Source organism: Homo sapiens, chromosome 18 (genome assembly GCF_000001405.40).
Source record: "Homo sapiens chromosome 18, GRCh38.p14 Primary Assembly".
NCBI classification, from domain to species: Eukaryota; Metazoa; Chordata; class Mammalia; order Primates; family Hominidae; genus Homo; species Homo sapiens.
Genome location: NC_000018.10, coordinates 44,696,489 through 44,709,330, shown reverse-complemented (window position 1 = coordinate 44,709,330; position 12,842 = coordinate 44,696,489). Strand labels below are relative to the sequence as shown.

Genomic DNA, 12,842 nt, shown 5'->3' with positions numbered 1-12,842 from the left:
ACAGAGCACACCAGCCATGCTTCAGAGAATAAATGACTTTCTGTCTGAACAGAACACAGTTTTTGCTGGTTACTCTGCCAGATGCATTTTCAATGGCATAGAATTCACCAAAAAACCTTCCTTGGGGGGGTCCAAAGAGAAAAAAACAAACAAGAGAACACCAAACCAGGAGGAAACAGCCAAGCTACATGTTTTAAACCCCCAGAGAATCCCAAACACAGGAAGAAAAAAAGAGAAAAATAGAAGACGGGGTTGAGGGATAACCAAATATTCCCAAAATATATTTACGGAACACGAGTTTGGTAAATCACCACATTTTAAGCTCAACTCTGACCCTTGCTCCCATGATTTTAGATCTTTTGACATTTCGGGCTAAAAGGAAACAATTTGATGACGGAACAGTGGGTCCAAACAGAGGTCAAAAATCTGTTTATAGTAATGAGCGTTCTTAAAGAGAAACACTTGCCCTGCTGATGAAACAGAATGGCCCTTAAAGTTTCTAGATTATAGAACAGAAACAAGACCTCAGAGGGAAAATGCTGCTTTGTTTTTCTTCTTCATCTTTTTCTTTTCTTTTCTTTTCTTTTCTTTTTTTTGAACATGTAGAAGCTGAGAAGCAGGGAGGTAAAGTATGCTGGCCGAATGTGATTGTGAGTCACAGAGGCAGAGCCGGTGCCCAGGGCTCCCCATCTCCAAGGCCAAGGTTCTTTCCCTCACACTTTCAGCTGACATGTCCAATGCTCCCTGCTGCCCTGCAGAAAAGGTCGTTCCCCACCTTCCCTGCTGCTTTAGCTACAACATAATCAGAGAGAAATCTATCAGGAAACAAAATTTCCAGGCATTCTAATGAATACATAGAAATGTGGTACTTAAAAATGTTTTTAAATCTCAGGAGACAAAAACTAAAATGAAACAAGAGGGGAAATTCAACCTCTTGTGTAGAAATGCTATGGAGACCTCATCTCCAAGTCAGGATGAGGGTGTTGTGGAGGAAGAAGCTCATACTCCCAGGAGTTTGAAACACCACATTCCCACCCCCAGAAGAAGAGAGGCCAAGTCTTCTGTAAAGCAGTACACTTGGGAGTGACCAGAGAAAGTGCTGACAAAATAGGATGGCAAGGGAAGGACACTTGAACCACCAGGAGGGTAGAAGGCTCTCTGAGCCACCCACTTGTGTGGAGGAGAAGAAAACCATGGGTGCAGCAGCCAGAGGTTAGGCAACCTGCACCCTTGGCAAAGCAAGCCACCCCTCACCCTCTGCCAAACACCTCCTCTCATAGACCCCTCCTCACCCACGTGTAAACGAAATTGCTACAACCATTAAAGGTCAAGAGAGAAATGTGCTTCTCAGGACATGCCAGGAAAAGGGAAGAACCCTAGACCAATCTCTCCTTGCTGAAAACTGTGTTACCAAAAGGCTCCCCTTTCATGTCTCCCATTTTAAGCTCCTCTACACAGAGTCACTCTCAGCAAGTTCCCCAGCACCCCTGCAACCGTTCCTTCTCCCTGATTCAAAGCCCTGTGAGCACCCCTGCTACTTACAGAATTAAATCCAAACTCGTTTATTTGACATTCATTGCTCTCTGCAATCTAATGCCAACCTCTCTTCCCATCAACAACACCTAAGAAACTTTTTTCCTATCCATACTTTGTGTGTTTGCTCTTTGTGTAAGGAGGAAATAAGTGCATGATTTATTTGGCTTCTCAAAAGCAGATTGTGAATGCTCAGGACGGAATACAAGAGTCTTTCCCTAGGCATATGATGACGGTCTAGACCAAGACAAATCCTGAATGTGCTTCTAGGACCATGGCAGGCACCTGATGGGTATAAGGTTGAAGTCCTTGCAACAGGAGGAAATAAGATCTCCCAATAGAACTGGAGAGGAGGAAAAATTAAATCCAAAGAAATGAAATAGAAGTTGTATTTTTGTCAAAAGCAAATAAAATTTGTAAGTACAATGAATAAAAAAATAGGGCTTTAACTAGTGAGCTTTGAACACTCTCTCAAAACCATGGAAAACTTAGAATTAGGGAAAATGTGGCAGATTATGCTTGTGCCACCCCAGCTATATGAGAAAGTATGGAAAAAACACTCTAGTGATCCTCACCTTTCAGAAATCCTTTACTTTTATAGGGTGTGGCAACTAAGGGACTGGAATACACATTTGCTTGGAGTCTAATAGAATTGGCTTCATAGGAAAACCTCGCCCCTTCCAGCTCCTCCTCCTTTGAAGCAATCTGAGCCTCAAGTTCCTGTAAATAAATAAGATCTGCCTGGCAGCATTGTTATGAGGACTAACAGATAAGGTGAGTAATGTAAAACAGTTAGCAGAGGGTCTGCCATGTAGCTCAAGAAATCAAAGTTATTATGATGATGTTTGCTCTGTAAATTATCCATTTTCTTCTAAAATCTTCCTCTGAGTTATATCATGTAGAAATCATCACCTGTATTTGGCAGGTGAGGAAACTAGGGCTTCAGCAAATTCATACTGCAGATCCAGATTCACAAAGCTGCTTGGTGTCAGACTATCACACCACATCTCCTACCCTGAGTCACTGTATGGCATCCATTTGGAACTCCCATGCCCTTATCTTGCTGTTGAATCTAGACAGGTGTCCCTGACTCCCAACATCCTCACGAAAGAGAAGAGCTGCTAAGCCTTGCCCAGCTTGGAAACTCTTCAAAACCCTGTCACTACTGGAATTTTTTTTTTTTTTTTTTTTTTTTTTTTTTTTTTTGAGATTGAGTCTCATTCTGTCACCCAAAAAGGCTGGAGGGCAGTGGCACCATCTCGGCTCACTGCAACCTCCACCTCTTGGGTTCAAGCGATTCTCCTGCCTCAGCCTCCCAAGATGCTGGGATTATAGGCATTCACCACCCCATGCCTGGCTAATTTTTGTATTTTTAGTAGAGATGGGGTTTTGCTACGTTGGGCAGGCTGATCTCGAACTCCTGATCTCAAGTGATCCACCCACCTCAGCCTCCCAAAGTGCTGAGATTACAGGCAGGAGCCACTGTGCCCAGCACTACTGGAACATTCTTCCAGAGACTCATCTTCATGGTCTCTGTTGTTTTAATCTAATCACCTAGAAGCAAACCTGAGGAAGTGTAAGTTATTAAGTCACTTACCTGAGTAAGTTTAAGTTGCAACCACGTTGGTCCCATGATAAAGAACAAGTTACATGTGTGGGGTCCATCTGCAAAATTAGACCTGTCCAAAGGAGAGTTCAGAGGCCCCGAAGTAGCTTCTGAGCTCTCCCCTCAGCCTCTACTTCCTACCAAATGCTGCTTTCACACCTCATGTAAAGCATGTAAATCCATCATAGGCCCTCTCCCAAATAGCATCTCAATTCCTATCCTAGTTTTATATGAAAGAGAAAAGAGACTTCTATCCTGGTTAGAAGAGTCCGTGCATCCTTGAGCCAGGGAGGTAGTACTTCCATGGGCTCCTCCTCACAACTTACCACTTAAGTGGTGATGTTCCCTGACGATCTATAATCCTTCTCCAGTTTGGAGAGTTAGCCCTAGGTTTAAAATTTGGAACAAGGCTGTTGACGATGCTACACATATATGCCTTCATCCCAAAGCAGTGGACCATGTATAACTAGAGTTAACATCACAGAGAACTAGCCTATGATATGTAAGTCATGCTACCCGTATCACACAGAGCTTTCTTTTCAAACACCAATGAAAACGAAAATCATTTGGGATCCCATATAAGCTGTCTTTGCCTGGAGCTGTCAAGCAATGACTTCAGCAAAATTAACTGGTTCACTTAAATAACAACAACAAAAAGCAGCACATAATATAACACCTAATTCCCCCCAGCCTCCAAACTTGGAGGCTGAATTATTAAAGCAAAACAAAATAAAACAAAACCTTTATTATCCTGAAACTCTATGTCCTTACCCTAAGTTAAGGATCAATGCACATTTTTTGTAAGGATCAGAGAGTAAATAGTTGAATCTTTGAAGGTCATAGTACCTCTGTCACAACAACTCAACTCTGCCACTATAAGAAAAAGCAGTCAGAGTCAAAACATAAACAAATGAACTTGGCTGTGTTCCAATAAAACTTTATTTATAAACACTGAAATTTAAATTTCATATGCCTCACATATTACAAAATATTATTATTCTTTTGATGTTTTCCCAACCTTTTAAAAATGTAAAAAACATTATTTGCTCAGGGGCAATACAAAAACAGGCAGGAGGCTGGATTTGGCCCACAGGCTACAGTTTGCCAACCCCAGCTCAAAGTCAGCACATATATTCAGATGACTCCCTAGTAGGAATCACTAGCAGCTCAAAGTCAGCACATATATTCAGGTGACTCCCTAGTAGGAATCACTAGCAGCTCAAAGATCAGCTTAACAGGGCTTCCTTTCTAGCTCCTAGTGTAGGACCTGCTTCCCAGAGGCCACTCCATGTCCACTGCTTCAAAGAGTGGTACAACTTATAAAAATAGATCCAGAAGGTGATTTCAGGATTAGATGCTGGTGTGTTGCTTACGAAATCTCATCCTCATCCATTCTGAGCCAAATTACTGATCACATATTTCTCATTCATACAAATAAGTAAATTCTGCAAGTTTATGCCACTAAACTTTTCCACACACATAGTAGGCAAGGTTTCTACATCTCACCCTCAGCTTTAGCCTTTGCTTACTCTCTGGTTGCAAAACAGCAGGAATTAAGGGTAATAAAGTTAACATTCTCATCCCATAGAGATCAGAGGATGTTCCTGTCATCTATCAAGTAATTGAGACTCAGTGATGATAGCTGTATTAATTCATTTCTGGAAAGTAACAGTGCTAGGCATAAATAAATGTAAGAAGGGTGGAGAAGTACCATATGAAGCAAGCTTCTAACAATTAAAAAGTTTTCAAGGGTATTCCCATCACAGTGTCATCATAAAGAGCACTGTGCATTGAATTTCAGCCCTTCTTCTTCCTCTCTGTCCCCTCCAGTTGCTGAGGCATAAAAATGCTTACTTGGCAAATCACATATTCAAATAAGCAATTTTATTTCTTTCCCATAAAGTCCACAAAGAGCATCCAGCTTCTTGGGTGAAAATGACCAGCCTGAGAACTTCAGATATGAGCACCAAAGTCCACTGCACATTTCAGCTTTGAAATCATCCCGATGGTACAGATTCCAAAACATTATTCTGGTGTGTTCCAATGGGGAGAAAGCTATATTTGGGAACAATCAGTGGCTTTAGGAAAAGTGGTACCTAATCAGGACAATGTATTCTCTTTTTAGGGCAGCGAATTTGGGTTTGAACTCCCAAAACTGTGGGTTGCTGCTTAAATCCTGGCAGTGAAGGTGATGGAGACAAAGGGTAACCATTACTCAAGACAACCCACCCACACAAAAATACAACAACACACAAAGAACTGGCCAACTCAATGGCCAGAAACAAAGATACTCATTTTCATATCTTAAGAGACCCAACTCCAATGCAAAGCCTCACTTTCAGAGCCTGATTTGAACTGTTGCATTTTCTTGCATGAATCTCAGAAGTTTCTGTATGTGTGGAGATTAAACCTTTGGTTTCACGACAGAGTATCCAGAAATCACTGCAAAGTTGTAATGGGGGAGGAGAGAGCACAACCTCTATGTTCTGGCAAAACAAACCAATTTCTAAAAGTTCCTTTGTCTTCCAAAATGTTAAACTAAGGTGACCAATCGTCCCAGTTTGCTAGGAACTGGGGCAATTCCTGGATGCAGAATTTTCAGTCTTGAAACCAGGACAGATTTTTTGGGCAAACTGTGAGGAGTCAGTCACCCTAGAAAGTCTCTTCTAGCCAGTTCTTTGGATTTTAAATGCAACAAAATCAGCCACAACACCCGGTATAAGGATGGACACAAGCCCTGTGCTAAAGAAATAATATGATTCCTAGTGGTTTTATTGAAAATAACTGCCCCAAAGCTAAAAAAAAAAAAAAAAAAAAAAAAAAAAAAAAAAAAAAAAAAAAAACCTAATGGTAACAGAAATGCTATGGAATATCTTCGGGCTATAAAGAAAAGAAGTTCATTCATTTGTGCCATTTTTAGCTGATCCACATATCTAGAGCCCAAATAATTGATCAAATGTCAGGGAGAGAGTGACAAAGATTATGATTAACACCTACAACCTAGAACCCCAAAACTCTGTCAACAAAAGGGCTTCTTCTAGAGCCATCTCCAAGTCCCAAAGATTTTCGAAGACAAAAACTTACTATACCAAGGCAGTCCTCTGCTATCACAGCTGAGTGCCACACACAGGAAGGGAGGTCACTGTAAGTCACTGTAACCCCCTAGGATATAAAATAAATTCAATGAAATATGAACTCATTCATTCCCAACCAATTGACACCACCAACCACCTGTCTAGCTACTTTGCACATCCATGTTTGACTTTTAGGAGGAAAATGACAACTAACCAAGTTGAGTCAATGTCCAATCTTAAAAGTCCGTGATGTGTTGGACAGAGATTCAGGCCAATCACTTGCCCCCTTTCTTGTTTTTCTACAGTTCCAGTTCTAATGCTCATCACTGGCTTTCACAATGATGATTTTTCAGCTCTGTGAGAGTCTCAGTTACTACAAAGACTGGGTTTCCTTAGTCAGGTGAGTAATTCATCTTAGGAAGATTTACAGTAGTAATGACTGAAATCAAAAGGAGATTTTAACAATTCTTGACTGTTCTGATTAACTCAAATTTTTTAATATCTCACTCCTAACTATGAAAACTAATGCAAACAAAGAAAAAAATACTAAAAAGTTTGTTATGGCTTAGCTGACCCAGACACTTGGCTGTTATACAATAAACAGGAACTTTCCAAAATTACAATTCTATAGCTATTTTTTGTCAGATATGCAGAAGATATGATAAAGAACTAGACATTATACCAAGATTATAGCAGAGGTGTTTCTTCTTGAGTCTCTAAATATTCCATCAAGGAGATTGGTAATTAACGAGTAGATAAGTACAGATGACACTTGAACAACACGGGCTTGAACTTCAAGAGTCCACTTATATGAAGATTTTCTTCTGCCTCTGCCACCCCTGAGATAACAAGACCAACCCTTCCTCTTCTTCCTCATCCTCAGCCTACCCACCATGAAGACGATGAGGATGAAGACCTTTATGATGGTGCACTTCCACTTAATAAATAGCAAATATATTTTTTCTTCTTTTTGATTTTCTTAAGATCGTTTTCTCTAGCTTAATTCTGGAAAGAATACAGTATATAATACATATAATATATAAAATAAGTGTTAATCAACTGATAATACTACCAGTAAGGCTTCCGGTCAACAGTAAGCTATTAGTAGTTAAGTTTTGGGGGAAGTCAAAAGTTACACACAGATTTAACTGTGCAGGGGTCTGAATCCCCAACCCCACGTTGTTCTAGAGTCAAATATAATATATAAATAGACCCTAAGAAGTTGAGGATAAAATGGCAAAAACAGAGAAACAAACAAAAACAACCATAAGACAGGGCTTCCTACCTTCTTTTTGGAGTGGCTTCTTTCTTCCTCCTTCGTGGCTTTGCTATTTTTTCCAGCACGGGACACCTTCTGGTCCCCAGACTGCTTGATGGTGATCTTGATCTCAGGTGGACATATATAGTTCTCCAAATTCTTTGGGGGTTTCTTAGCCCGCTTTGTGGTCTGAATCTTTAGCTTCAGACTTCCCTCTGTGAAGTTTGCCTCCTTGATAGAAAATTCCTGCTCTTCCAAACCATCTCCTGCCACCCATTTCTCACTGTCCGCGTTGGAGTTGGAATCCACATCCCGCCCTGAGCCTAGTTCATCCTCCTCCTCTGGCTCCATGCGCTCTCCGCCCACCGGGATCCCCTTCCCAGGTCCTGGAGTGGAGAGCAAAGGTTCTCCTGCACAGCCAGGAGCAGCTGGGGGCTTGGCTGAGGAGACCGGCAGGAAGTCTGACTCGCCCCCTCTTTGCCGGGAGCTGCTTAAGGTTTCCCTGGACTCCATGACAATCTCTACAGTCTTCCGGAGTTCTCAGGAGGGGGAAGGGGAAAAGGGAAAAGGGAAAGGTGAGAAAAGAGGACACCCAAAATTCCAAGAACAAAGTGGTCCAGTTGCTAGGGTCAGATTCCCAGGGATGGAGACACGATGAGGTGTTCAGAAGAGATCAGATCTGCAACTGAGAAGCAAAGAGACAGTTAGGCATGGCAGAAAGGAAAATGACCCCCAAGGTTACTCAATCTAAGTTCCAGAGGCCCCCTTCCACGTATCTATGGCATCCGGAAAAAAGAAATGATGGAAAAACAGCTAACCAGAATAAGCACATCCCCAAATTGGATTTTACTAGAGCAGAGGGAAAAACACATTCACACACGCCTTCATAATGGATTGCTATTAATTTTATAGCTGTAGGCCCAAGAATAAAGATAAGAGGTGCGAGTTCTCCAGCCCGGTAGCAAGCTAGAGGTTTCTTTATACTGAAGCTTCAGCTGGCTGAGTCACTGTTAAAACCAATCATGACGAAAGGGAAGTCTGAAGTGTTGAGGCTCAGGTCTGCTGGAACTGTATTTGGTTGGCTTTTTGCACCGCTTCTCTGTCACATGTGAAGAACAGTTTGCAAAGCTGAGCACAACCCCCAGGCTGCCTGGGCCAAGCTCTCCACCCACTTGGAGGAGGGGCATTCAGCCTATCTCTTAACCATTTTACCTTTATCATTTTTCACTATGCATTATTTCAATTATGCAAAGACCTCTCTATTTCTTCAAGCAAATGCAAAGCTTAGGTTTGAGGCACACAAAAAGAAAATAAAAAGAGTTCAGTGGCAAATCACTTATAACACTGTGATTAATGGAAAACAACTTCAACAAATGTTTCTACTGACACAAAAGAGAGAAATTTAATCATTATCAATTATTTAGATTAAAAATAGCCTTTCTAGACAGTTGTAATTCCCTTTCTGGTTTCTTAAATGAAGTAGTATTGTGTCTCCATAGCAGCAAAAGAGAAAAAGGGAGAGAAGGAGCATTTTATAGGCCTGTGGAAGTGTCAGGAGTCCCCCCAGGATCTTCCTCTCTACCTTCCTCCAAGATGAGAAGAGAAAAATCAGTTAGGCTCTCTCCAAACTGTCACAGGATCAGCTAAACTCTCCTTCACCCTTCTTCACCCCACGTTCTATTATTCCCAATTTCATACTCATAATTTTCAAAGCCCAAAAGGAAGCCCAAACGCTCAGTCTCAGGAGAAAACCAAGAGCCCTGGGGCTGCAAACATCACATCCTCCCACCCTTAGGCTGTACGCTGGATCACACTCAAGCTTTCTCAGCTGCTGAACACTTAAGTTTCCCAGCAGAAGACATGACTGTACATCTTAGGTTTCTACCTCTGAGCCCATCAATTTAAAGTGGCTGGCAAATGTGCCCACCAAAAAATGCCCAACGATGCCTGCAAAGACATATTCAGAATAACCAAGAACTGGAAGCCTGAAGACCAGACGTTTGTCTTCTGTCTCCAGAATCAGCACATTTTTAGCTGACGCCCTGTGAGGAAGCCAGCCAGGAAGGCAGCCCCGGCTCCAACACGGACCCTGCTCCCCAGAGAAGCCCAGGAGCATATTCAGCTACTGGAAAATGCTCAGCTTTGCAGAAAGACACATTTACAACTGCTTCCACTTCGGGGAAGATTCAACGAATACAGCTTTTCTGAAAAAGAAGAAGCTGCCCTAGTGAGAGCATGAGCATCTTCACTGACACTGTTGAGCCAAAACTGAAAACAGCCACCTGTGACCCATGCTACAAGATGGACAAAGTCTCCACTTTGGGAGGTGGGGAGAAGTTAGACCAGATGACACTTGATGTTTCTTTTACTGATAAGATTTTTTGTCTCATCTAGATTTATCTGCCCAATAATACACATTATTTTTAAAAAGTTATACTCAAGTTGACTTTACGGAGGCCTCTCTTACTAGTGTCAGGCACCACCCCAGCTGTTGGAGACATCAATGTACCTTAGGAAATTTCCCCATTTGTCAAGCGGTAAGAATCCAGTAGGTCTTTCTCAGTGTGTATCCCAGATCCATGCAAATTGCAAGCCATGTTTTCTTATGGCAGTAATGTTCACAGTCTATTCCCTTTGGCAGGAATCTCCAACGACATTTTAATTCTCTAATACCTACCTATAAAATCTCCCCAGGTCAGGAGAAAAGACAAAGCATATACATACAAATTTCCTAAATGAAATCCATTTGGACCTTTGAACCAGAGTAGGGAAATGTATGTTACAGATTCTGTGATACAATAAAAGAAGGTGAACTCTAAACTTTAGATGAATTGATGGGCTTATACACTGAATATATTATTAATATTAAGAAAATATCTTCCATTAAAAAAAGATTCACTTCAGAGTGAAATAAATGAAACAATCATTTCTTACATTTTACTACGTGTACAAGACAAAGTTCTGAAACTTAAAATTCAAGTCATAAAAGATCCACACAAAAAAAATTCAATACAAAAAATTTTTTTCTGTTCTCAAATCAAAATACTAAGGAAAACACAATCTTTTTCCTCAAGGAAGTTACACTTTTGATGAGAGATTTGACAAATCACTCTAAAACAACACAGAACTTTATATGTACTGTAAGAAAGGACAGAATCAAAAGGAAGAAAGTTTTCTCCACTTGAGCAAGGTGTAGGTAGCTAGGAAACTACACAGAAAGGCTTTGAGGAGAGCAGAAGACAGATCTTTGATCTTGATGGGGGTTTCCTAGGTAGAGCAGGAAGAAGGAAGACGTAGCAGAGAAAGGGAAGACGTGAGGCCACGTCCTGGGCAGGCGTGTGCAGGATTATGCAGAAGAAACAGGGAATTGATGTTTGGCTAGGAAGTATGGTAGAAACTGGGAATCTATGAGAGGTGAGGCTGGAAATAAAAGGTCATGGCAAAGTCATGAACTTCCTTGAATGTTGTGCTAACGAGTTTGGATTTTATCTTACAGGTAATGGGAAGCCATTTAAGGAATGGCAGTGGAGAAGGAATAATATCAAATCTAAGCTTTAGGAAGATAATTCTGGTACATGGTGTGAGGGTTGGATTAAGGGAATCTGATGTTAGAGGCAGGGGGCCATAAGAAAGTTCAGCTGAAATTTCATTCACATTGCTTGAAGACCCAAACCAGGGCAATGTGAGTATGTCATAATAAATACTGTAGGTAAAACAGTAATGCAGTTTCAAATAGCCTTAATCTTTAGGAATTCATCTATTCCAGACTTTTCATACTGATCTCGCCTTAAAAGACCAAAGCAAATTAGCCACCAACTTGCAGTAACTACTCAAGTCAAACCAGTCTCCACAGCAATGTTATACATAGTTCTTTCTGTATTTTTTAAAATACACAGAATCTGTTCTTATATCCACTTCCTCTCATCCTTGCAATGCCGGCCATGCAATTGGTGTTCCCCAAATGTTTGTTGCACGAAGGAATGAATAAACAAATGAATAAAAAGATCCCAAGCCTTTCCATATTTCCAGATCATCCCCAAGTCTTCAATTCTCCATGGCAACATTCTGTAAACTCCAGACCGTGGTGCTCACTCCTTGGCCGGACTGACATTGCACCCAGCTGTATAGTTCGCCACTAAATACCAGCCTTGTATTGTCTTCTAGCTGTTCTGGGCATATAAATCTTATTTCTCTAACATGATTGCAGCTCAGCCTCAGGTTGAGCCTAACTGTAGTTGTATAATGCTGACATTACCTATAGCATCCATTGCAGGACTGGGTGCTTGGAGGATTTCAAGGTTTTTCTGAATGAAAATGGCTTCGCCCTCTGACAGCTATTCAAAGTCGTGTAGTTCAAATTACTCCCACTGCAGCTCCACCCACCCAGGCAGCAGCCCCAGCCAAATTTGCTGCCTATCCTGAGGATTATAATCCAGCCCCTGGTGTCCATATGTGACCCTCATCTTAGACAAATAAAATAAAATAAGTTTTCAAAAGAAACAGCAAAGAAACCTAACCTGTCTGTTTACTTCATCAGCACACAAAGCTGTTGTTCTCCTTTAGCTTCCTTCCCAGCACGTACCTGCCTCCCCAAATTCACAGCTCAATTTTTTGGTGAGTCTGGGTATCAACTGCGAGTCCTCTTGTGATTCAGCCCTGCCAAAATGCGCGTGTGAGCACACGCACAGGCTCACGCACTCAGAGTTGGGGAAGCCAAGGCAAGGTAAAAATGTTTTGCCTTGTCACATTCCAGCAGTCAGTGACTCCTCCTGAGGGGGCGGGCACACAATGGACACTCTGTACTTGGCTCAGGCCTTCAGTCCAACAAAAGTTAACTCTTCTATGACTGCCTGCAGGACTTGGGCAGGGGCGGCAGTGGGGGCTGGGAGTGGAGGAGGATTGGAAAGATAAAATTGCTTAGGAGATAACAGCCTTGTCGGCCCCAGGCAAACAAAAGGGCAAGGAAAAGAAACAGATGTATTTAGAAAGAATACTGAGATAGGAGTCCAAAACTTTGTCTTTATTCCTAGCTCTGCTGTTCACAGGCAGTCAGATGCTAGACAAGCCACTATGAGTCTTTTACCCACACTTTGTGGATCTCTTATGACCCACACTTGCCTTAGCAATGAATGGGTTGGGACGAAAGTCTGTTTCATACTTAACACTTTGTAATTTTGCCCTGCAGAGCCATAGACCTATGGGTACACTCCAAAATGAACAGCATGAACCTAAAGAATTATTTCTCTGAATGGCCAGGGGAATCCTGCTTGGCTAGATGTGACTTATACCCAAATAAGTTCCAGAGTACATCCTCCCTCCCCTCCAAAACTGCTAGATAGAATATTTTTCCTAGTCTAAAATACATTCTCCA

At 41.6% G+C, this 12,842-nt stretch overlaps 1 protein-coding gene across 19 annotated transcripts in view; it reads right to left on the bottom strand.

Annotated features, from left to right (window-relative positions):
• The window catches only part of SETBP1 (SET binding protein 1), a 388,438-nt gene that overhangs the window by 359,180 nt on the left and 16,416 nt on the right, over positions 1–12,842 (bottom strand). For 6 of the 19 annotated variants that reach the window (NM_001379141.1, XM_047437477.1, NM_001130110.2 and 3 more), the window contains exon 2: positions 7,499–8,156. In NM_001379141.1, the coding sequence (NP_001366070.1) occupies positions 7,499–7,984 (486 nt within the window). In that variant the 5' untranslated portion in view covers positions 7,985–8,156. Of the gene's footprint in view, positions 1–2,108; positions 8,157–8,289; positions 8,457–11,988; positions 12,196–12,842 lie in introns of those variants that run through there. The other 13 variants (XM_024451149.2, XM_024451156.2, XM_024451158.2 and 10 more) reach the window with 7 other exon arrangements.